At 41.7% G+C, this 25,653-nt stretch overlaps 1 protein-coding gene across 9 annotated transcripts in view, besides 4 other annotated features; it reads left to right on the forward strand.

Annotated features, from left to right (window-relative positions):
• Window positions 346–920: an enhancer, noted in NCBI's record as "OCT4-NANOG hESC enhancer chr11:32912708-32913282 (GRCh37/hg19 assembly coordinates)". NCBI's record gives its function as "activates a minimal SCP1, AML or CMV promoter by ChIP-STARR-seq in primed H9 embryonic stem cells {active_cell/tissue: H9 hESC(primed)}" and the evidence as "EXISTENCE:reporter gene assay evidence [ECO:0000049][PMID:30033119]".
• Window positions 1,668–2,287: a silencer, noted in NCBI's record as "silent region_3227". NCBI's record gives its function as "represses an Ori minimal core promoter by ATAC-STARR-seq in GM12878 lymphoblastoid cells {active_cell/tissue: GM12878}" and the evidence as "EXISTENCE:reporter gene assay evidence [ECO:0000049][PMID:35858748]".
• QSER1 (glutamine and serine rich 1) overlaps window positions 1,995–25,653 on the forward strand; it is an 87,460-nt gene continuing 63,801 nt past the window's right edge. For all 9 annotated transcript variants that reach the window (XM_047427611.1, NM_001076786.3, NM_001416037.1 and 6 more), the window contains exon 1: window positions 1,995–2,518. In XM_047427611.1, coding sequence (XP_047283567.1) covers window positions 2,310–2,518 — 209 coding nt within the window. In that variant the 5' untranslated portion in view covers window positions 1,995–2,309. The remainder of the gene's footprint in view (window positions 2,519–25,653) is intronic.
• Window positions 2,368–2,767: a silencer, noted in NCBI's record as "silent region_3228". NCBI's record gives its function as "represses an Ori minimal core promoter by ATAC-STARR-seq in GM12878 lymphoblastoid cells {active_cell/tissue: GM12878}" and the evidence as "EXISTENCE:reporter gene assay evidence [ECO:0000049][PMID:35858748]".
• Window positions 8,778–8,967: an enhancer, noted in NCBI's record as "active region_4568". NCBI's record gives its function as "activates an Ori minimal core promoter by ATAC-STARR-seq in GM12878 lymphoblastoid cells {active_cell/tissue: GM12878}" and the evidence as "EXISTENCE:reporter gene assay evidence [ECO:0000049][PMID:35858748]".

Below are 25,653 nucleotides of genomic sequence, written 5' to 3' on the forward strand. Positions count from 1 at the left end.
ATAAAAAATGTAATGATGTTATTTGTAGACATGTAACATTTGAAAATAAATATAATTGTACTGATTTAGAGTGAACTAAGGAAATTTCATTTAAATGGCAAAGGAACATATGGTGACAGAGTAATATTACTAAAAATACTCACTAGAATTTTCCCTTAATATCTTTCCCTGATTTATGTGACATAAACAAACTACATAATGGTGTGAGGGACTATAAAGGTTTTATTGCCACTTGTTTGGTATTGCCTGCGTAACTCACTCTGAGTGCCAGTTGTGGGTATCTCAAACTAAGTGTCATAAAACATTTATAGCATGCCACTCCATTTCCTATACTTTTCATAGAGACAAAACTTTAGCGCTCACAAAAGTACTTATAAATATAATAGCTAGTTGTGAAAACTTTTTAATTTAGATCCCACATTTCCAGTTTGCAGGAAGAAAAATAAATGTAATGAAGATTTACGTTACTTCTCTGCATGAACTCAGATTAGTTCGCAAATTCCTTTTCAAAGAAAAACCACTTTTCAAAGATATCCTCAGTAAATGCATTTTGTAATTAACATAAAATTGGCAAAGTCGCTGTGCCTACACGTTTGAATTCATGTGTAAATAACGACTACTCACTTCCTTGCTTCCCCACCCGGGGACCAGGCTCCAAGCATCACAGGTGCAGAAAGACTTGCAAAAAGGAATGAATAGGAACAAAAGGATGTAGGCGCCAGGAGGAAAACAGGATCTTCCAGAACAAAATTAATCTCGCAAGGCATAGCAGATCCAACACCAGATTATTACCAAAGTTTAAACTTTTTCAATGGTCATCAGAGATAGCGTATCAAGTTTATTAGGTCTTTCACTACGGCTGATTTGCTTAAACCTTTATGTTATGCTTATCTTGAGGGATAGATTTCTGTGCTAAGCACATAATAGGTGTTAAACCAATATTGATTTTTAAAAGGAGGTGGTCATTAAATAGAAATTTTACTGTTATTTTAACCTTTAAATTTATGGCCCAAGGGCCAAACGATGATTTGTACGATTCCCTAGTTTCAATACTTGTGAGTTATTACAAGAAATACAACTCTGCTATGCAACAGAAGAACCGCAAATAGTCATTAAATTACCGCACACCAAGCAGCTTGGAGATCAGATAGGAAATGTTTGGGGAGAGAGTCCTGCTGAAGTTCCAAGTCTCAAACAAAACCCCTCAACATCAGAGTGCATGGTGAGTTTAAATTTATTGTAATTAAAGTCATCCAGATGGTAGTTGGATTAATCAATGAAGAGGTGGTTATCTATCTTGGGATAGAAGATTCTGAAACCCAGAGCGAGAAAAATCCCCAAGGTGGGGGTGGGGACAGTTAATAAGAGCCCTTGGGAAAGGCCCTTTCAGCGAGGATTGGAAAATAATACGTTTGAATTTGAATCTCTTTGAATATAAATCTCCCCTAACAGCAGGAAAAGGGTCCTCTAGCCCAGCAAGCTTTGGGGAGGGAGTAAGCGGAACTGCAAAAGAGCTCGCTCAGCTGTTTCTGGATTGGGGCGCAGAGAAAGAAATCGCGATCAGGGAACTGAGTACTGGAGTCCCTCAAAATAACCCGAAGGGTCAAATAGTGAGCTCCAAGCAAAGCGTTGACCCGGCTACCCCTGAGCAGCGCCCTACGCTGGGTTCCACTCCACTTCCCCTCCCCCGCGCGGGGCGATAGCCAGGCGCGGTCCCTTCCCACGCGGGCCGCGGCGAGTGCGGACAGCTCCCTTCCGGGCTGCGGAAGGCGGGAAGTCTGCGGTTCGCGGGCTCCGGCTGGCGGGCGCCCCTCGGAGTCCCTGAAGTCGGCCGGGCCCCGCAGGACCCGCGCCTTCTCGGCCCCAACTGTCCCTCGCGAAGCGTCCTGCGGTGGCGGAGGCCTCGCGGCCGCCCGCCAGCCCCGCGAGCGGCAAGCGCGGGGCTCAGAGGGGAGGCGGGGCAAGGCCGCGGGGCGGAGGGGGGCGGGAGGTGCATCCTGGGAAATCCACCAACATGGGGCGCAGCGGCCGCCGCCGCCGCCGCCGTCGCCGCGAGTCCCGGCCGCGGGTGCCTCCGCTTCCCTGACGCCCAGCTGGGGCCTCGCCGCCCGCCGCGGCCCGGGTCTTTGCGGCCCAGACTCGCCAGCGCGCCCTTCTCCCGCCTGCTCGCCGGGGCCATGTGAGGGGGCAGCTCCCTCCACCGCCGCCGCCCCCTCTTCCTCCCCCGCCCCCTCTCCCTGCCCGCCCCCGTCACACGGAGCCCTGGAGGATCCCCCGCTGCTGCCCGCCCTCCCTACGCCACCCCCACGATGGACAGGAACTACGCGACCTCGGGCTTCACCGAGCCGCCGCCGCCGCCGCCGCCCGCGCCCCCCGCCGCCCCCGTCCCCGCCAGCGCCGCTGCGCAGCCCCCCGCCCCAGCCTGGGCGTACGAACCCCGAGCCGCCGCCGCCGCCGCCAGCAGCAGCTGCAGCAGTGGCAGCTGCAGTAGCGGCAGCAGCCCCAGCCTCAAGGCCAGGTAGGGAGGGTGGGCGGCGGGGTCGCGGTGGACCAGGAAAGGCCGGGGATGCGTTTGGGGCCTTCGCTCGGTTGCAGCGCCGCCCAGAGGTCTGGGCCGGGCGGGGAGCCCTCCGCTCGCCCTCGGCCAGCTCGGGGGAGGCGGCTGATGACTCCTACGGGGTGGTCGCGGGTAGGTGGGGGCGCCCGGTGCAGGATTCGCGCCTGGGGACGGCGGGTGAAGGAATAGCTGGGCGGGAGTCGTGGGGCTCCGTCACCTCTTGGGTCCTGGGCTCTCACATGGTGAAGTTTGGGCTCGTGGCTGAACTCGGGATCTGTGAGACCCAGGATTGGCGCCGGGGGTCCGAAGGGGGCGCCGGAGAGTTTGGGGCAGTGGCGATCCATTGTATTGGAACCTGGGTGGCCGACAATGCGGTCTTGGGGACTCCGGCGTGTGAGGGTTGCGGAGGCGGGAGAGGAAGAGTCGCGGAACCGCGTCCCGGAGACACTGGGGGGCCCGGGAGGGCTGGGCTACGGGAGAATCCCCGGGGCGCAGGGCAGAAGAGGGGGCCCGGCAGGGCGCGAACGCGGCTCCAGGGCCGGGTGACATATGTTTGCGCTGGTGGCCAAGATTTAGGCGATTTTTCTTCCACGCGTTCAAAGTTGCTCTTAGGTTTCCTCCCCTTTTAACAACAGCAGGAAGTAAGGAATCTTTCTTTGCCTTCTATGCCTCGGGGTGACTGAGAGTTGGGAAGAAATGGGGCGGGGGTTGGGGTGGGGGTAGTGAAGGCCGTAAAGGTTGAAGAACCAAAGCATGCTTCTCCATCTCGGCCTTTAAGGTCCGGGTGCATTATGTAGCGTGGGGTTCAAGAGTTCATCTTGCATGACCAAGGGAATCTAAAATTTTGACTCCTACTTGATATTTAAGCTCGCGGGAAATGTGTAGTAGTGCCACACTGTGAAACGGTCCCATTTGAATGATAACTGGAAGGCGTGGTCTGGTTTGGAGAATTGGTGAGCGGGGTGTTTTAAAGCCACCTCTCCCGAACAATACAGAATCTGGTAGGTGCAGCTTCTGATTACATGGACCAGGGAATCCTGGGTTGCTAATGACTTCATCCTCAGCTACCAACAGGAAGCTTCGTGGCTTTATGATCTCATCAGATTTCTTCATTATTTTTCACGACAGAAGTGAACTTTTGTTTTAAGTTTATACATTACCGTGTTCCAGGTTATCTTCTTTGTTTTTACGAAAGTTCTACGTTCATGATTGAGCAAATAAGTGTGAAGGGTAGCTGGTCTTTGTCTTAGATTGTCCATTGGGACGATTGTGAAAGAATGAGAAAAATTTGCTTCAAGAATAGGAATATAAGCTTTCTCAGAAAATTTTAGGCCCTTTGTTTTCAAGACTTGGGAGTTAACAAAAATAATGTGATGTGCCAATTTGGAGCTAAGTAATTAAATGCTGAAACCTTTCAGAAATAGCCATAATTTTGTATTACATACAAGTAAGCCATTTTAAGGAGTTTCATGAAAGACGTTTGGCACTTCACCCATTATTTCTTGCTGATGGTAATTTGACTATCTTTTTCAAGTAGCTTTTTGCATTGACTAGGATAATTTACAAATGAAAATTACTTTCTCATCATTGAACAGCATGATAGGTATTTGTGCCGCATTTTTTATCTTTTAAATGAAAAATATTTATTAGGTAAATGGAACTGAAATACTACCTAGTTACTTCTTTTAGTAGAATACTTCTGAGGCAAGAAACTAAAATCTACTTGTCATATTTTCCAAATGTTATTTATCAGAGTAACACGAAATGACTTCCCAAACACACTTGAAAACAGTAAGTAGATTCACTTGGCACACATAATCTAAAGGAGATTTATTTTCTGTTTACTAGAAGTTATTGAATCTTAAATATTACCCCTCATGCCCTCTCCCCCTGCTTTTTTAAAAAATAAGCGGTGGGGGGAATCAGCTAAAATACAGCATAGAAAATGCAGGTTTACCCCCCTCCCCCGCCAGCCTGCTTTGTTAACATCTTGTATTGGGATCAGGCCATCTGTACAGAGTTACACTTCTGAATTATACCTCATTTTATTCCTCAAACTGTGCAAATATTCCCTTTGATTTCAGTTATATCAAAAATGGCAAATCTGAAATATGCCTTGTAAGTCTAAATATTCTACACTTCAGAAGCTTATTTATATTTTTATACCATTTTAAAAAGCTTTTTCATAATGCACATATCAGTTGAATGTTTTTGTTCCCCTTTGTGGCAGTTTCTTGTGAAGGTGCAAATGAGTACTAGTTGTGATGATGTAATATGGATACTTATCCATAAAGAATTAGCCTGTCTGTCACCTTGTTTCCTGTAACCTATTCAGAAGCTGACAGATGGTAATGACATTCAGTTGTTGCCGACAGGGATCTAACATCCTACTTTATGCCTTCTTGGTCTTGAAATACATCATTTTCATCAGTTGATGGGAAGGTACATGATAAACAGCTTTTCATGAGTTTGAAACAATACTTTTTTGAATACAACAGCTCTGTTAGTTATTAGGTAGTTTTATTGTACTAACAGTGGAAAAATAGAGTGGGAAACTCCAGCATTATACCTTAAATGGGGCTTATAGAAAGATTTTTGAATATTTCTCAGAGTACTTGCTAGGTACTTGGAAAGTACAGGGATAAGGACTGGCCATATAAATCTTCATTTATTTATGCTAATTTCAGTTCGTTTTAGGAACTAAATGAATGAACATGTCCTTTGCTGAACACCACGCAGTTGGAAATACCTTTTGGGGTGCAGTTTTGGATGTTGTAAATACCTTTGCATAGCTTGGGAAATAAGAAGGTCATCAAGAGTCTGCAGATCCATTGCCGCATTCTGTACTTGATACTTATATCTTGGTCACAACAGGAAGAGGCAGGCTGTTTTATGGTGATAATCGATGTGTTCGTATTTGAATATGCACCAGAAAGTAAGGGAATGGAAATATTTTGTATTTAAATAGGTTTATTTATTTTATTTTATTTTATTTTTTGCGATGGAGTTTCGCTCTTGTTGCCCAGGCTGGAGTGCAACGGCGTGATCTCAGCTCTCTGCACCCTCTGCCTCACGGGTTCAAGCAGTTCTCCTGCCTCAGCCTCCTGAGTAGCTAACCACACCTGGCTAATTTTTGTATTTTTAGTAGAGATGGGGCTTCACCGCATTGGCCAGGCTGGTAATTTTTGTATTTTTAGTAGAGATGGGGTTTCACTACATTGGCCAGGCTGGTCTTGAACTCCTGACCTCAGGTGATCCGCCCATTTTGGCCTCCCAAAGTGCTGGGATTACAGGTGTGAGCCACCGTGCCTGGCCTGTTTTTTGCCTTTCTAACTTGAAATAACTTTTGGCACCAGTTTTTAGAATTCCTAATGCATACTTTTTTTTAGTATGAGGTATAATGAGTATGATAAATACTCCTCTGAAAAACCAAAGTAATGATTAGCTCTTCTAAAACCTGTCAGTTTCTATATGATGGACATTTGTTTGATACATTTCAAATCTAGAGTTTTCCTCAAGGTTTTTGGGAAAAGGCCTTATAGATCATAATTTGTAAGGCGTAAGAACAATCTCAAGTTAATGAAAGGTTATTTCAGACAAACTTCCACTGTTAGAGTTCAGAAAGTTTTTTCCCATGGAAACCGTGTTGTAAGTAATAGTAGCTGTCATTTACATCACTAGCAACTAATTTGTGCTAGCTGTTTTAAGTCACACGTACATTCATTTATCAAAATTCATTTATCATGAATAAATGAATACATACATTCATTTATCAAAATTCATTATAAAAATCCTTTGAGGTAGGCATTCTTTTTACCATCCTTTTATGGATGAGGAAACTGAGGGATAGAGACATGAAGTAATTTATACCTACAGCTACATAGCTAGTAAATAGTGGTGCTGTGATTGAAACCTGGGCATTGCAGATCTGGAGCCTATGTGATAACCAGTGTACTGCACTGCTTTATTGTAAGATAGTGGAATGCTGTAATCCACCTATATGTGAAATGAGTTTCTGTGAGTTGGCCTGGAAACCTAAGCATCATTAATATCCTTATTTAAGTGTTCTTTGTCACCGTTGACCATTACCTAGTTGAAATACATTCCTTTTCACTTCCATAGCACTGTACTTGCCTGGTTTTCCTCCTACTTTTCTGGCCCAACGCTTTTTCCTGTTCTTCACTGGTGTTTACTCCTCTTCTGTCTAATCTCTGCATGTTACTGTTTCCTCAGGGCTTGGGATTGATAAATTTCTTGTTCATTCCTTGCTTTCTCCTGCGGACTCACATCCACGTCCATGCTTTTAAATACTATCTCAGTGGAGATGCCCATATTTGAGCAGACTCTTCTCAGGACCTCAGACTCTTCTGAAAACCTGATCACATAACCAACTACCTCTTTGACCTTTTACTTGAGCTTAATGATATGCTTTCCCCACCCATCACACCTCTGCTTCTCTAGTGAGGCCCATCTCAGTAGTCATACCTCTGTCCACTTAGTTGCCCAGGCCAGATGGTGGGAGTTGTGTGTGCTCAGTCACTAAGACCTACTGTTTTGAATCTAATGTCTTGAAACTGTCTGCTTCTTTTGTATCCACTGCTCCAGCTGGTCCAAGCCACCATTATTTTTCACTTGGACAACTGTGGTAGCTTCCTAACTTAGTCATCTTGGACCTTTTCTTTCCTCTCTTCAATTCATTCTTCTTATACCATCCAGAGTGATTTTTAAAAACACAGATCTACAAGTTTGCTCTTGGTCCTTTGCTTAAAGCCTTTCCATGGCTACTCCTACATATTAGGGTCACATTTTTAAACATCTGTAATATGGTCAGGCGTGATATCTCACGCCTGTAATCCCAGCACTTTGGGAGGCTGAGGTGGGAGTATTGCTTGAGCCCAAGAGTTTGAGACCAGCCTACGCAACGTGGTGAAACCCTATCTCTACAAAAAATAAATAGAAAAAATTAGCCGTGCATGGTGGCGTGCGCCTGTGGTCCCAGCTACTCTGGAGGCTGGGGTGGGAGGATGGCTTGAGCCTGGGAGGTGGAGGTTGCCGTGAGCTGTGATGGTGCCACTGCACTTCAGTGTGAGCGACAGAGTGAGAACCTGTCACACACACACACACACACACACACACACACACACACACACACACACATTGTAATGTGCTCTGTATGGCTCTGCGTTTACTGACCAATTTTTTTTAATTTATTTTCTTTTTTATTTTTTCTTGAGACAGGGTCTAACTCTGCTGCCTAGGGTGGAGTACAGTGGTATGAACACAGCTTACTGCAGCCTCGACCTCCTGGGCTCAGGTGATCCTCCCAAGTAGCTGGGACTACAGGCATGTGCCACCACACCTGGCTAATTTTTAAATTTTTTGTAGAGATGAGGTCTTGCTATGTTGACCAGGCTGGTCGGGAACTCTTGGCCTCAAGCAGTCTTCCTGCCTTGGCCTCTCAGGCGTGAGCCACCATGCCTCGCACTGGCCTGTATTAAATTCTTTGAATCATCCTAAATTCCTTCTTACCTTAAGGTTTTCATACATCGTCTTACCTTCACTTAGATAACTCTCACCCTATCCCCACCTCCCAGACTGACTTGTTAAGGTATCTCATGTGAGAAACCTGCAGTATTTTCAACCCTCACTCCTTGTTGCTTTGTGCAATGGTATATGTTTTCACAGAATATTTTATTTTACTTTCATATTCTTAGAAATATATACCTATGTATTGTTTATGTAATACGTATCTTCTTCAGAATGGAGGTTATTTGAAGAACCCCTATGTGTTTTGCTGTTATATTTGTAGTACTTAGTATTTACTTTAATCCATGGCATATAGTTGGTGCTTAATACATACTTATATCATGAAAGCCAGAACTCTGCTTCAGTGTGGGAATTGGAAGCCCCTTTCTTCCTGTTGCAGCCTCTAATGCCATTCCCCCTCTACCCTGTAGTTGGGACCAAGATGAAGGGTAAGTTTGTGATTATCTTTGGTTAGCAGGGTGGGGATATGGGCTACTACTTGTTTCTTCCTTTCCTTGGTATGTTCTCTGGAACAATGAGTACTAAAGTATGTCTACCAAAACACAGTTTTCTTTTATTCATTAAACAAATATTTGAGTACCTGCAATTGTTAAGGCAGTGTTACCTGTATCTCCTTGAGTTATATTTCTGCAGTGAAAGCTTGAGAAATCAAGTGACAAGCATGCAATCACTCATTAAAATGTAGTGGCCATCTCTCAGTTTCTGTTTCTCAGCTGAGTTCTGCAGGGTGCCACAAAAATGAAAAAAAAAACACTGTCTTGCCTCTGAAAGAACTTGTGATCTGGAGGGTGAGAGGGTAATGCACTTGCTTCCTCTCTGCTTGGCTTCTAAATGTTGAAGTGCTCAGAAACTTGGAGTTCTGTCCTTTTTTCTTTTCTCTCCACTGACCCTAGGTGTAGTTGCCATATATGTGAGATGACTTTCAAATTTACATCTCTGGATTCATATCTAGCATCTGACATCTTCATTTGAATATTGAATAGGTATTTCCAAAATGACATATCCAAAACATGATTGTCACCCTCTCAACCTGGGCCTCCTCTAGCCTTCCCCACCTCAGTAATTATTATCACCATTTACTCCATTGCTTATGTCCAGAAGGTTAGAGCCATCCATGATTCATTTCATTCCTTCCCATATTGAGTCCCTCAGCAAATCCTGTTGGTTCAATCTCCATATCCATAATTTCCTGCATGGATAATTGCAGTTGCCTCCTGTTGCTTTTCTTGCCTCCTTTTAGGCCTTCTGTAATTTATTAAGTATGCAACAGCCAGAATTAACTTTTCAAAAGTATAGGTCAGGTAATGTCATTACCCTGCTTAGAACCTTCCAGTGTTAATCAGTAAAATCCAATGACTTGGTCAGGTGTGGTGACTCATACCTGTAATCCCAGCACTTTGGGAGACTGAGGCAGGATCACTTGAGGCCAGGAGTTCAAAACCAGCCTGGCCAACATGGCAAAACCCTGTCTCTACTAAAAATACAAAAATCAGCTGGGCATGGTGGCAGGTGCCTGTAGTCCCAGCTACTCGGGAGGCTGAGGCAGGAGAATAGCTGGAACTCAGGAGGCGGAGACTGCAGTGAGCTGAGATCACACCACTGCACTCCAGCCTAGGTGACAGAGCAAGACTCCATCTTAAAAAAAAAAAAATCGAATGACTTATCGTGGCCTACAAAGCCCTGCATGATCTAAGCCTCAGCTAATTTCTCCAACCTCATGTCATTCCCCTCCCACCACCATCCTTCAGCCATACTGGCTTTACTTCTGTTCCTGAAACATGCTAAGATTATTTGTGTCTTAGGACTTTTGCACCGGCTATTCTCTTTAACTGAAGTTTTCTTTGCAGGTCTTTGCTTTGCTGCTTCTGCTTTTGCTGATTGTTAGGTCTTTCCCCACATGTTACCTTCTCAGAAAGGCCTTCTCTGACTGCCCTGTCTAAAGTAACTGCACATCACTGACACATGACAGTTTTACCTCTTCAGAGCATTCTCACTCTCTGGAGTAATTTTGTTGATTTATATGTATCGTTTATTACCACCCTTTCCCGATACCACTAACCATCACTGATAGAATGCATGTTCCATGAGAACAGGGCTCTTTGTCTTGTTCACATCTGTACAAGGCAGGTTAGTATAGTAGTTGATAGCATAAGCTCTGGAGTTATAATGTTTGAGTTTGTATTTTGACTCCACCACTTGCAGTATGATCTTAGACAAGTTTCTTAACCTCTCTGTGCCTCAGTTTCCTTATGTAAAATGAGGACACTTAGAATTCTTGAAGATTAAATGGAAAAACTTAGAAAAGTATTTAGAGTGATGTCTAGCATATAGGATAGCATATAGATTATTAACTTTATTGTCAGCACTGAGAAAAATGTCTGATGCATTGTGCCATTAAACATTCAATGAATGAATGAAATAACTGCTATTAATACTTGCCAGACTATTCCAGAGGTACAAAAATAATTCAGGGACTTAGTGGGGAAAATTATATTGAGTTCAAGGGGATCATGGTAGCATTTGTCAAGTAGATTGCATACAAACTGATCTGAATTATTGCTAATGTTGCATAGTGGAATAAGGGATTAGTACAAAGAAGGAGCTCCTAAGAATAAGTGTTCTAAGAGGGAGGAAATGGAATCTGCTAGGCCAGTTAAGGGCTGGGCCTTGAACTGGCACAGCATCACTTCTGCCAGTCTGTTGGTCAAAGCAGTCCCTGGTCCATTGCAGAATTGTCATGGGAGGGAAACTACACAAAGGTGTGGTTCATTGGGGAGCTCACCAGAGTAACACTGTACCACAGAGCGTTGGTACTAGATTTTAGAGGGCTTCTGATGACAGATCATGGAGTTTAGTCTCTCCACTCTAAAGGATAGGGAATGGCCAGGCGTGGTGGCTTGTGCCCATAATCCCAGCACTTTGGGATGCTGAGATGGGCTGATGGCTTGAGCTCAGGAGTTTGAGACCAGCCTGGGCAACATGGTGAAACCCCGTCTCCACAAAAATACAAAAATTAGCCTGGCATGGTGGCATGCGCCTGTGGTCCCAGCTACTTAGAAGGCTGAGGTGGGAGGATCGCTTGAGCCTGGGAGGTGGAGGCTGCAGTCAGCCATGATTGTGCCACTGCACTCCAGTGTGGGCATAGGGAGTGAGACCTGTCTCAAAAACACAACAAAAAAATCCACATAAAATCTCTGTTCTTGTGGAGTTTACATTCTTGGGTGAAGGAGTCGGGCAGGCAAATTATTGAGAAAATTTTCTCCTAGAGGAAGTGCACTTCCCTGAGATCTGAGGAAGCAGCAAGTGCAAATGTCGCAAGGCAGGAACAAGCCTGGCAGTTCCCTTCCCTGGCAGGATCTTGCTGTAGCTCAGTGGTACTTCAGAACCACCCAGAGGGCTTGTTGAAACACAGGTTGCTGGGCCCAACTCCAGAGTTTCTGAATCCATAGGTCTTGGGTGGAGCTCAAGAATTTGCATTTCTAACAAGTTTGTAGGTGATTCTTATGCTGCTTGTCCAGTGAGGAGATTTTGAGAACCACTGACCTGGATCTTGTCAGTGTTGGCTTCTTGACATTCTTATCTCCTTAAATATCATCTCTTCGCAAAGAACTTCCTTGAGCACCAGATCTAAAGTCCCACCAGGTTTCCTTTGTTCCAACGCTTCTGTTTTCCCCAAAGTATTTTTCCTTAGCTGACAAGACCAGACAGGTGAGTTTAGGAGTCTGACTGGACATGTGTATAGAGACAATAGTGGAATCTCAGAGATTAAGGTCTTTGAGGGTGAAGAATGAAGGGCTGAGAACTGAGCCTTTGCCATTGTAGGTGATAGTGTCTATTACATGCCTACTATGTGCTGAGCACTGGCCTAATAATTTTATAGTGTTATCTCATTTAACTTCTCATAATAATTCTAGAATGTAGGTACTATTGTTAGCCCGTTATATAGACAAGGAAACTCAAGCAAAGAGAGATTTATTAATTTGTCCAATATCGTTGCTAGTAAGTGGCAGAGGCAGGATTTGAACCCAGGAGGTGTAACTTCAGAGACCGTGCTATTAATCATAAGCTTTCAGGGAAAAATCCTTTTGGGAAGTTGAGGGTATAGGATTAAATAGAATTGGCAAATGAAGTCAGAAAGAGGTTTAATGATAGAATACTTTGAAGAAGGATGTTGGGTCTTTGGGATTTAACATTTATGCTGGGAGGTTATATTTTCCATTATTTAAAAAATTAGAATCATTTTCCCAGAGCATACTTTTGCCAAAAGTTTTTGCAGAAAACTTGGGGACATGGGCTTATACCAGACTGAATGGTTGCCGTAGGGTATGGGTAGTTCAGAGATTTTAACTGAAGCACCTCTCATATTCTAGACACTATTCTGGGGGCTTGGGATACATGAGAGAACAAAACCAAGATCCTGAGGTGAATGGGTTGAGACAGCTAATTAGAAAATGAACATAACTGTACATTATCTAGTATGTTGGGAGGTGATACCAGAAAAAGAAAAGCAGAATTAGGCAGAATGGGATGTGGATGGAGGAGGCGTTGCAGATTTACAAACAAAGTGGACTGGGCAGGCTCATTGAAATGATTGAACAATGACTTGGAAGTGCTAACTTTTGAAATGAGAAGAAAAAATGTTACCTTGGGAAACAGGGTGCTTCAGTAAGTTTTTTATTTGTTTGTTTGTTTGTTTGTTTGTTTGTGAGACAGTCTTGCTCTGTCGCCCAGGCTGGAGTACAGTGGCGCGATCTCAGCTTGCTGCAACTGCAGCCTCCACCCCTGGGATCAAGCAATTCTCCTGGCTCAGCCTCCCAAGTAGCCGAGATTACAGATGCCCACCACCACGCCCAGCTAATTTTTGTATTTTTAGTAGAGATAGTGTTTCACTGTGTTGGGCAGGCTGGTCTGGAACTCCTGACCTCAAGTGATCCACCCGCCTTGGCCTCCCATAGTGCTGGGATTACAGGCATGAACCACCACACCCAGCCCCAGTAAGTTTCTTTTGCCCCTAATTCAAATGAGACTACAAGTTTTGTAAAAAACTTATCTGTTCCTTGGGTTAACTTGCTTACAGGAAATCTTATTTCTTTGTTTAATGTTTATCCCTATTGCTGCTTCTGGTGTTTTAATTTCGGCTACATGCTGGGTGACTTTGTTACTAGGCTGCTACTAACACAGTTTCCTTACATTGACTCAGGCCAGTCTAGCCAGGGCTTTCCAGTCTAGGCCTTTCTGCAGTCAAGGCAATAGTAAGCATTTCTTTTTCTTTTTTTTTTTTTTTTGTAGGGGAACAGAGTCTTGCTATGTCACCCAGGCTGGAGTGCAGTGGTGCAATCTCAGCTCACTGCAACCTCCAACTCCCAGGTTCAAGCGATTCTCCTGCCTTGGCCTCCTGAGTAGCTGGGATTAAGGCATGCGCCACCCCATTCAGCTGATTTTTGTATTTTTAGTAGAGACGAGGTTTCACCATGCTGGCCAGGCTGGCCTCTAACTCCTGACCTTGTGATCCACCCACCTTGGCCTCTCAAAGTGCTGGGATTACAGGTGTGAGCCACTGCGCCCAGCCAGTAGTAAGCATTTCTTAATGTGCTAGCCGTGAATATGAATATGTGTATGGATGCTGTATAATATGAAGAGGTAAATGAGAGGATGTGGGCCTGGTTTCAGCATATCCACTCTTTTTTTTTTTTTTTTTTTTGCAGAACCATCTTCTCTTTTACCTTTGAGTGAAACACAGTTTTTTCACTGTTCCTAAAATGGTGTTAGGAATGCTCTTATCTAGGGTCTTTGTGCTTTTTCCTGTGCCAGGACCACTTTTCCCTGAGATAATCTGCGTGACTTCCTCATGTTGATCAGTGGCCTCTGCTAGTACCCTCAAAAGAATGGTATGCACCCCCATCACCATCAACCCTGCTTAAGGTTTCTTCATAACATTTATCAATCCTTGATATAAATACTTCTCTGTTCTTGTTTATTGTAGTCTCTGTCCTTTAGCTTGGGTGTTTTTTGACAGTAGAACTTCAGCTGTGTTTTCCCCCACTTGCCTGGCATATAATAACTGTTCAATGAATACTGATTTAATAAAGAATATGTTTAATGGGGGATATTCTACTTTTACTTGTCTAATATTTCAGAGTTTAAATTTGGCCTCTGTAAGTTAACAACTCTTTAGGGATCCTGACCGTGTAGCTTGTCCTATGTTGCTAGGCATGTAGGCATTTATGGGGTGTAACTAAACATAAAATAATGAAATTTTCATATGGCCTAATGCCATCATTCTCATTACTGTGTGATCACTGATCCTGTTTAAGTAACTTGAGACCAGATTTGTCTGACCCAGTGAAGCAAACACAAATATGTGGATAAGCTAAAATACTTTTGCTTGGATCTGCTTAAATTAGATGGCTTAACGTTTTAAAACATTTCTCAGGTTGAGCAAAACTGCAAGATGAACATTACTCTGGTAAAGCAGCTGGTACTATTCTCACTAAAACTTTAGACATTAAACTACTTCAAGTCAGAGTTTGATTTGGCCAGAGCCACAAGGGACTGGTGGAATGATGTCAAAGTAAAAGTGTGAACCCTTCGGAAGGATGGGAATTAAGTAGAACTGTGCCTATGCCAGAAACTCCAACTCCTCAAGAAACCCAAAACTTAGAGATGGTCTTTTGCTATTTGTTAATACCTTTGTATTACTTTTTTTTAAACAGCAAGTTTTTGACTCAAATCTGATCCTCTAACATGGTAATGATTAGAATTGTTTCTAAGACTCGTAAGTTGTGTTTTAATAAGGCATAGGAGTTGAAAGTTCCAAACTTGCTTTTAAAAGCTAATCTAGTATACCAGCTAATTAATCTTGATCTACTGGGCTGCCTTTTAAGAAGGTCATGTTAGCACCATCTTCATAGATATCAAGCATATTTCACAGTATGTCTACTATTTGCTCTTAACAGATATGCTTATTAGGGAAAATTTAAAAGATAGTAAACTTGTGTGTTATGACATTTGATTAATATGTTATAATTTTTTTTGGTGTGTAACTTGTTTCAAAATATATACTCCTCTAAAATTCATTATAATTTCTTCCTTTACATTAGCCTTTGTTGTGAATTAATAATGCAGAACAAGAATTAGCCACCTTAAAGTTGATTTTCTCTACTATAAAAAAGACTATTTTTTAGTTTTTTTTTTTTTTTTTTTTAAGTTAAAAAAATTTGGGCTGGGCATGGTGGCTCACACCTGTAATCCCAGCACTTTGGGAGGCTGAGGCGGGTGGATCACTTGAGGTCAGGTGTTCAAGACCAGCCTGATTAATATGGTGAAACCCTGTCTTTACTGAAAATACAAAATTAGCCAGGTGTGGTGGTGCATGCCTGTAATCCCAGCTACTTGGGAGGCTGAGGCAGGAGAATCGCTTGAACCTAGGAGGCAGAGGTTGCAGTGAGCCGAGATCGGCGCCACTGCACTCCAGCCAGGGCAACAAGAGCAAAACTCCGTTTTTTAAGAGACAGGGTCTTACTCTGTCATCCAGGCTAGAGTACAGTGGCTCTCTGTAACCTGAAGCTTCTGGGCTCAAGTGATCCTCCCACCTCAGCCTCCCAGGTAGCTAGGACTACAGGTATGTGCCACCATGCCTGGCTAAATTCGGGTATATTTTTGTTTTTGTTCATTGTAGAGATGGGGTCTTGCTATTTTCTCAGGGTGGTCTCAAACTTCTGGGCTCAAGTGACCCTCCTGCCTGACCCTCCCAAAGTGCTGGGATTATCAACATGAGCCACTGCGCCTGGCCAACAACAACACTTGTACAGAAAATTTCAAACCAAACAAATTTAGAGAGAAAAGTATAATGAACCCCTGAGTATCCATTACCCACCTTCAACAATTTTAGCACATGGTCAGTCTTCTTTCATGCATATCCCTACATTCTCTCCCAACTCCCATGTATCATTTCAAAGCAAATTTCAGGCTATGTATCTCTTTCAACCATAGTATGAAAGAGAACTCTGAAAGATAAAGACTTAAATTTTTTTGATATAACTACAATAGGTAGGATATTTTAAGGCAACCTATACATATTTCATTGGTTTTAGTACTTGAAGTCAATCTTCTAATAGTATAGTACAATTAAAATAGTATAAGTAGTATAGTACCGTTACAACAGGATAAAATACTACTGGTTTTATTATAAGTCTTTGGCTTACAAATTTGTGGACATTTCCTTAGGAAAACAGAAGCATCAAACTTTTTAAGCTTCTAGATGATTTCAGATGACTTTTCTAAAAGTTTGTAAGGAAAGAACAGCACATTGAGTATAAAATGAGTAATACAATTTTGGATTTTGATTCATCTGAACATATTCTTTTCTACCCTAAAATGTTATTAAATTCTTGTATTAAACCAAAGATATGAAAACATTTGTAATTCTAGTTCATATTCAGATGTGAATTGTGATAAATGTATTTTTGGACAGATTTCCTTTATCTAATGCCAGAAATAATAGACTATGTTAATAATAATACATAAAATTGTGTTGTAGTGAAAAATTGACTCTACGGTTTTCTCAAACAAGGGAGAAAATTTAATTTGGTAAATGAAAGACTAAGCCACAAACAAAAGGATACATTGAAAAAGCTGAAAAAAACATTTCGTAGCACCCATACATTTGAATCATGGAAATATGAACTGTGTTACATGTTGAGAAGTAACCAGCTATATGTTAGTTCATTTTTATTCATTCCTTTGTAGCCAAAATAAGAGATAACCATCCAGGGCCCATATAACCACTTTTGTCTGTCTCCTAAATAAACATGCCTGGTATTTACAGGTAGTTAGTACATGCAAACACAAAATAATTTGCTTTGATGGATGTATTTCTTTTAAAAGAAAAGCATAGGCTGGGCACGGTGGCTCATGCCTGTAGTCCCAGCACTTTGGGAGGCCAAGGCAGGCACAGATCCCTTGAGCCCAGTAGTATGAGACCAGCTTGGGCAACATAGGGAGACCCTCGTCTCTACAAAAAATACATAATTAGCTGAGCATGGTGGCATGCATCTGGAGTCTCAGCTACTCAGGTGGCTGAGGCAGGAGAATCATTTGAGCCCAGGAAGTCAAGGCTGCAGTGAGCCATGATCACCTCTCTTCTCCAGCCTGGGCAACAGAATGAGACACTTTCTCAAAAGAAAAGGAAAGCATTACAAAAAAAATACTGAAATATTGGAAATAAGGGGAAAACTTGGGACCAAAAAATCTTGTCTTTGTCCAGAAGAAAGATTGATAATGCAAATGATGACAAATAGAAAAAGAAGATGATGAAATGCAATTTTGGAGTTGTCCAATCCAGGCCTTGGTGGCTCTTGTTATCATGGATGTAGCCAAGCATATGCCATATCACCATCACATTTCATTATTTCCCTGTGAAACAGCAGACAGAAATTCTTAGCTGCCTTGACTTTGGCAGTATTTTTCTTGGGCATCAGTTACAAATGCCAACATCTGTCTCTTTTTGTTGTGAATACTCTTTGGAACTGATATATTGGTTTTTTAATATACTCTGCCACCCCACTAGATAGGAAATTCCATACTACTAATTTGACCTTTCTTAGTGAAAACAAACATCTTCTGTTTAACCAACTTGAGTGTATCATTTGTACAAAATAGGATTTTTGGTAAAGATCATTAATGATGTATATGGCCGAATAATATTTCATTGCATAGACATAGCACATTTTGTTTATCCGAACTCTTTTGATGGACATTTGGGTTGTTTCCACTTTTTGGTTATTGCAAATAATGCTGCTATGGACATTTGCATGTAACACTTTGTATGAACATGTTTCCGGTGTAAGTATCTGGGAGTGGAACTGTTGCAAATTTATGTTTAACATTTTGAGGAATTGCCAAATTTTTCTCCCCTAAAGTGGTTGTACCATTTTGTATTCCTATCAGAAATATATGGGCCAGGCACAGTGATTCACGCCTGTAATCCCAGCACTTTGGGAGTTTGAGACGGGCAGATCTCGTGAGGTCAGAAGTTCAAGACCAACCTGGCCAACAGAGCGAAACCTCATCTCTACTAAAAATATAAAAATTAGCTGGGCGTGGTGGTACACGCCTATGGTCCCAACTACTTGGGAAGCTGAGGCAGGGGAATCGCTTGAACCCAGGAGGCGGAGGTTGAAGTGAGCTGAGATCGCGCCACTGCACTCCAGCCGGGCAACAGGGCAAGACTCCATCTCAAAAAATGAAAAGAAATATATGGATGTTCCAATTTCCCCATGTCTGTGCCACACTTGTGATTGTCTTTTTTATTATTGCTCATTCATTTCTTGAAAAGTTTAGCATGTTTGACTCATCTGCCTCTTCTACCTCTATTTTCTCTAAAATTGGGTTCAAGGAAGGGAAGTATCTTTTATCATCAACAGCTTTATCGATTTGATATTTTCACTGATTTTTTTTTAAACTAAAAGATGACGTGAGATTATTCAGCAGTTGGTAGCCAAGTTCATTAAACTCTAGATCATTTTTTTTTTTTTTGAGTCAGAGTTTCCTTCTTGTGGCCCAGGCTGGAGTGCAGTAGCACGATCTTGGCTCACTGCAACCTCCGCCTTCTGGGTTCAAGCAATTCTCCTGCCTCAGCCTCCCAAGTAGCTGGGACTACAGGCGCACACCACCATGCCTGGCCAGTTTTTTTGTATTTTTAGTAGAGACGAGGTTTTGCCACATTGGTCAGGCTGGTCTCAAACTCCTGACCTCAGGTGATCCACCCACCTTGGCCTCCCAAAGTGTTGGGATTACAGGCGTGAGCCACTGCGCCTGTCCTAAACTCTAGATCCTTTAACATTTATTTTAAAAGCAATTTCTCATGAAACTTGGAGCTACTTGGGAGTCGTGTGTATGGGGGGGGTGTGGTCATGACATTATAAGGTGTATTTTGATTTTAGGATTCCCTTGGTATCGATTTTAGTTCGGAAACTAAGGGAAGTTGTGTAGCAGGTAGCTATGTTTAAAAAAATGTAATTTAGACACTCCCATGCTTAAAAATCCTTTGGTTTTCCATTGCAGTTGGAATGAAATCCAGACTCATTGTGCCCACAAGGTTTTCCATGTCTGACCGTTAACTACTACCTTTCCACGATCTCCTACTGCTCACCCACTTCCCTTAGTACACTCACAATATGCTGGTCTTCTTTCAGCTTCTCTATGTTCCAGACTCTTCCCACTTCAGGCCTTTTCCTAACTGTTCTTTCTCTTCCTTTGGTTTGGGGCAGGGCTTGCTTAAGATCCCTTCTTCAGGAGGCATTGCTGATTACTGTGTCCTCTTTCTCCCATAATCTCTATATTTAGACTTTTTTCTTCTTTATTCATTTGATAGAGTTTATAATTGTTTTATTAGTTGGTTTCCTTTTATTTACCACCCTGTCTCACAACTAAACTGTAAGCTCTTCAAAGACTTATCCTTTTATTATATCCCCAGTGCCTTGCTCATTGCCTGGTACATAATATCTAATATTTGTTGAATAAATTAATTTACCCTGCTCTGCCATATATTTGTTTTATTCTATTTTGTAGAATTGGCTAGACACTTGTATGCGGTTTAATACCCCATAGTTAACAATAGGTCATGATGGCAGGAACTTTGTCATTGTGTATGCCTTTCACTCCTACCTTTTGCATGCATATACTCAGTAAAGACATAGAGACTTAAGTTGAAATTTTCCCTTGAAAATAATGTTGAGCATGTTGAAATGGATACCTTAGAAATGTTCTGCAGCTACACTGCCAATATAATGAGAATTTTTAAACAAAAACTTTAAGATCAAAGGTAAATAGAGTAAAAATCAAAATGGACATTTTAGATCTAGGCCATAAATTAGGATTTACAAGCACTTTCTTCTTCCTGTTCCATACCTTTTCCTACCTCCCTCATGCCACTGTTATAACTACTTTATTGTTCCAGTTGGCTTTTTCTGTTTTGGTCCTAGCCTTCTGGTCCACAGAACTTTGTAGCGCGAGGGGTTGTGGGAGGAGATAGTACAATGTAATAATTGTATAGGTAATGTATATGTAATATGTGTGTTATAGCTGTGCTTGATTTATTATTACTGTCTCCTCAAACGGTTTCTCTAGCTGTCTAATCTTACTGCAGCAGTTAGTCCTCCTTTCTTGAAACTTACAGTTCCTTTGATTTTTGGAGACATTCCTGGTTTTCCTCTTAAGTTTTTAGTTAAACTTTCTTATTCTTCCTTATGGTTTCCTCTTCCTCTACCTTTCCCTTAAATCTGCATCTCAGGTAATTGATTTTAAAAGTACCAAGTTATGACATGGACACAGAGAGGGGAACAACACACACCAGGGCCTCCTGGGGGTGGTGGGGGAAGACGGGAAGGAACTTAAGAGTATGGGTCAGTAGGTGCAGCAAACCACCATGGCATATGTATACCTGTGTAACAAACCTGTATGTTCTGCACATGTATCCCATTATTTTTTAGAAGAAATAAAAAAATAAAAAAGTACCAAGTTATGAATGATTACTCATTGTCTTTAAATAAGATAGAGTTGATCCCTATGATATGGTTTGGCTCTGTGTCCCCACCCATATCTTATCTCAAATTGTAATCCCCACATGTCAAGGGAGACCTTGATGTGGAAGGTAACTGGCTCATGGGGGTGGTTTCCACCATGCTGTTCTCACGATAGTAAAGGAGTTCTCGTGAGATCTGACAATTTAAAAGTGGCAGTTTCCCTTGCACTTGCTGTCTCTCCTGCCACCTTGTGAAGACATGCCTTGCTTCCCCTTCACCTTCTGCCATGATTGTAAGTTTCCTGAGGCCTCTCCAGCCATGCTGAACTGTAAGTCGATTAAACCTCTTTTCTTTTTAAGTTACCTAGTTTCACATCATTCTTTATAGCAGTGTGAAAATGGACTAATACACCCTATAATAGTATTGTTACTCATTTATTTCTGTGATATCTTAAGTGGAAGAGGGAAGAGTGGTACTTCAGTTGAGTTGCAAGGAATTTTGATTTGCAGATAAGTAACATCCTTGAGAAGCAGGAAATTAATGTATTTTGGTCATATGTGTAAAGCAGTGTCTCTATAATTTCTGCCCTTAGCCCACTTCTGATGTGACTCACTCTTGGACATTTTCATTTACTTCCATGACTTCAAAAAACACTCAATTTGTAACGATCCCCAATTTTTTATTTCCAGCTCAGATTTCTCTTCTGAGTCCTAAGTAGGAATATTCATTAGCCCTCTTTCAATTATTTCTCACAACATGTCTCTTTAACACCTCAAACTCAGTGCTTTCAAAATTGAAACCGTCCATGTTTGTTCAGCCTTATGGGTGGCTCACTGTCATTCATGATTCCTGTCTTCCCCGCAAGTCTTCTCAATTGTATTTTTTAAGAATTCCTAAGTATCTAGCTATTGCCACTGTTTTGCCCTCATAATTTCTTACCTGGATTTCTGCAGTAGGATCTTGGCCTTCTCTCTTTAAGGTTTGTTCTGTTCTGCACAGTATTTATCAGATTATCTAAGATAATGATTCTTTTGAACTTTTCAAAGTGAACTTATAGGGTCCCATGTCACATGTCAGAACTACTAATCAATAATTTCTGAAAGGGAGATCTGGATGTATATAGTTTGAAAAAACTAACCAGGCGATGCTGATGAGCATCGCCTGGTTACAGACCATTCTTTAGGCCAGGCAAAGTGGCTCACGCCTTTAATCCCAGCACATTAGGAGGTGGAGGTGGAAGAATCGCTTGAGTCCAGGAGTTCAAGACCAGCCTGGGCAATATAGGGAGACCTTGTCTCTATAAAAAGATATTTAAAAAACTGGCCAGACATGGTGTCGCACGTCTTTGGTCCCAGCTACTCAGAAGGCTGATGTGGGAGGATTGCTTGAGCCTGGAAGGTCACACCTAGGGTGAGTTATGATCACACCACTGCACTCCAGCCTGGGCAACAGAGCAAGTCCCTGTCTCAAAAAAGTATAAATTTAACTCTTACTAAAATTCTTGAGAGGCTCTTGATTCCCTTGAAGATAAAATGTGAGATCCTTATTTTGGTATATAATATTCCATAGTTTGGTTCCTGTCTACCTCATATCCCTGTTCTCCAATACAACCATGCTGAATTACTACAGTTCTAATGTGCCATCTTAGGGATATTTCTAGGTCTTCATATATGTGATTTTTATCTTCTTGGAACCTTCTTTTCTTTTGCTTTCCCTGGATAATTTCTCCTCTTCCTTTTTTTTTTTTTTTTTTTTTTTTTTTTTAAGATGGAGTCTTGCTTTGTCGCCCAGGCTGGAGTGCCGTGGCGCGATCTCGGCTCACTGCAAGCTCTGCCTCCTGGGTTCATGCCATTCTCCTGCCTCAGCCTCCCGAGTAGCTGGGACTACAGGTGCGCGCCACCATGCCCAGCTAATTTTTTGTATTTATTTTAGTAGAGACGAGGTTTCATCGTGTTAGCCAGGATGGTCTCGATCTCTTGACCTCATGATCCGCCCACCTTGGCCTCCCAAAGTGCTGGGATTACAGGTGCGAGCTACCGCACCCGGTCTTTCCTCGTCCTTTTAATACTCAGTTGTCATGTCCTAGAGGAAGTCTTCCCAGATTGTGTTATGTTTATTTACTTATGCTCTTTTATTTCTCTAGTTCCTAGCATAACACTTGGCAGTCAGTAAATGTCAGTTGTATAAATGCAGAACTTACCTTTAGGTGCAACAATAGTAGCATTGATTCAGCATTCATTATGCGCCAGTTGCTGGACTGTGCTAGTTGCTGCTGACCGTATGTGCTTTATTGTTTACTCTCACAACAACCTGATGAAGGTAGGTGTTACTATTACCCATATTTTACTGTTGAGGAAACGGAGACTTGGTTAAGTCTAACTAATTGTCTGTGTGGCTAGCCTCTAAGTCACAGAATTTATATAGAACTGGATTTGAATCCTGTGGCCTGTTTGCAGAGCTATGCTTTTATACAGCTGTTACACAGTTGTTTCAAAGTTCCCTCGTTTATTTTTTCAAATTCATGATAAATAATTTCTTAATAAGAGCTGATTATTCTTAGGCTACATGTTTTTGCTTTTAAATTATCAAACTGGATTAGCTAAAACAAAGATTTTAAAATATTTGGCATTTAGGTATGAATGGGATAGGTATATGCTAGAGTTCCACACAGATTTAATTCAGTGGACTTAGTGTTTATTTCTATTCGGATTTTATACCAAAGAATACTGTGTGCTAAATAAAGTAAAAATATTTATCTTAACTGAGAATATTAGAACTACAAAGAACATTAGGCTTTATAAGTAGGAAAACAAGTATTCTACAAGATTATGTACTTTGCTCAAAGTCTTGTAGCATTTATTTGCAGAATCAGGACTGGAATTTGGGGCTCCTAACTTCCAATCCAGAATGTTTATCTTTCTCAACTATGAAAAGCTGATATACCTAAAACTGTAACAATATTTTCAAAGCTTAAAGAGAATTCTATTTTTATTATATTCTAGGTATTTGTGACCAAATTATTTAACACAAAAAGAACAAAGTGATATGACTACTTAAGGCAAAATCATTTATTCAGTGCTTAAGTAACTTATTACTTGTGTGCAAGTACTGGCTTGTTTTCTCAGATTTAACATATTTCGTGAAACATTTGCTAATTGATTTTTAAACCTGGAATGTGTTTTATTTCTTAAGCATCATAAACATAAGAGTAGGCTACCCAAGGAGTAGGTTTATATGTTATTAATATCTGGGTATAAACCATAAGAGCATATATTTAAAAGCATTTTATCTTACAGTCATATACCATCTTCACTGCATGAGTGGACATTTTAGATGAATTTTTTGCCTCAGCTATATCTGCTTTAGAAATTAATTTTCTTTGTTATAGTGAAGTTGACTAAAAAATGGTCACACTTAAACAGTGTAGAGAGTGGTAATCTGATAACTAATCTTTGTTGGTTTGTTTCAATTTTTGTTGTTGTTGTTTTTTGTTTTGAGACAGTCTTGCTCTGTTCCCCAAGCTGAAGTGTAGCGGCCTGATCATGGCTCACTGTAGCCTTGACCTGCTGGGCTCAAGCCATCCTCCCACCTTAGCCCCCCTGAGTAGCTTGGACTACAGGTGCCACTATGCCCAGCTAATTATTTTTTGTAGAGAGTCTCACTGTGTTGCCCAGGCTGATCTTGAATTACTGGACTCAAACAATCCTCCAGCCTTGGCCTCCCAAAGTGCTGGGATTATGGGTGTGAGCCACTGCACCTGGCCTGTTTTGGTTATTTGAGAAAATTATAATTTTTTTTTAAAATGTGACAGTGACGGAAAGAAGATGATACTTCCCTTTGCAAAATTCTAACCTTCCTTGTCCTCAATTTCATACCTTACTCATGAGTGTGGGGAGGAGATAGAAGATTTGTTTTATGCTAGGGCTGGGAATATGAAGATTGAGACTTGGTTCATTCTCCTCTAGGATTTAGCTGAGGTAATACTTGGAGTTTGTAAGGTGATGGTAAAAGTTTACTATTCTCTCCCTACCACGACTACCCAGGGCTTGGGGATTAAGAAGGGCTATGCTGGGCCACAGTAGGTCCTATCTTACATAAATGTACCTATATTCAAAGACGAGTCTATACTGGTCCAAACGTGGAATTACAAATCAAGACCATGTTTTGAGGCATGCTTTTTCCTTTTAGGATTATAAAAAAGAAATTCTGGCTTTTGATTAAAAAATAAACAATCTCAACAGACCAGTACTATCAGATTATTATTGCTAAGATTAATACCTTCTGAAATTGATTTTAAAACCATAAAGCACAGATTTTTAAAAAACATTATTATATGGTATATGGAGATGGGCCAACCATAAAAGATTGAATACATGCATGACAGCAAGGCTTATCTAGAAACCACCTTCTTTTGGTAGTGTTGCGTAGTTCATGAAAAATTAAAAATGATCACTAAGGTTGGATGAATATAATTTTGTTTTTTTTTTTTTGAGATGGAGTTTCACTCTTGTTGCCTAGGCTGGAGTGCAATGGTGTGATCTCCAACTCCTGGGTTCAAGCAGTTCTCCTGCCTCAGCCTCCCGAGTAGCTGGGATTACAGGCATGCGCCACCACACCCGGCTAATTTTGTATTTTGAGTAGAGACAGGGTTTCTCTATGTTGGTCAGGCTGGTCTCCAACTCCCGACCTCAGGTGATCCGCCTGCCTCGGCCTCCCAAAATGCTGGGATTACGGGCATGAGCCACCGCGCTCGGCTGGATGAATATAATTTTTATTGATACAATTTACATGGATGAGTGACCATTTTAAATCGTACAATTCAATAATTTTTAGAATACTCACAAGGTTGTACAACCATCACCATTATCTAATTTCTAGAGCATTTTCATTACCTAATAAAGAACCACATACCCAGTAGCAGTCTTTTCCTAGTTTCCCCTCTCCCCAGACCCTAGCAAATGCAGTAATCTGTCTCCATGGATTTGCTTGTTTGGGACATTTCATATATAGCCATGCATCACCTGA

This window comes from Homo sapiens, chromosome 11, assembly GCF_000001405.40.
Source record: "Homo sapiens chromosome 11, GRCh38.p14 Primary Assembly".
In the NCBI taxonomy this organism is placed as follows: domain Eukaryota; kingdom Metazoa; phylum Chordata; class Mammalia; order Primates; family Hominidae; genus Homo; species Homo sapiens.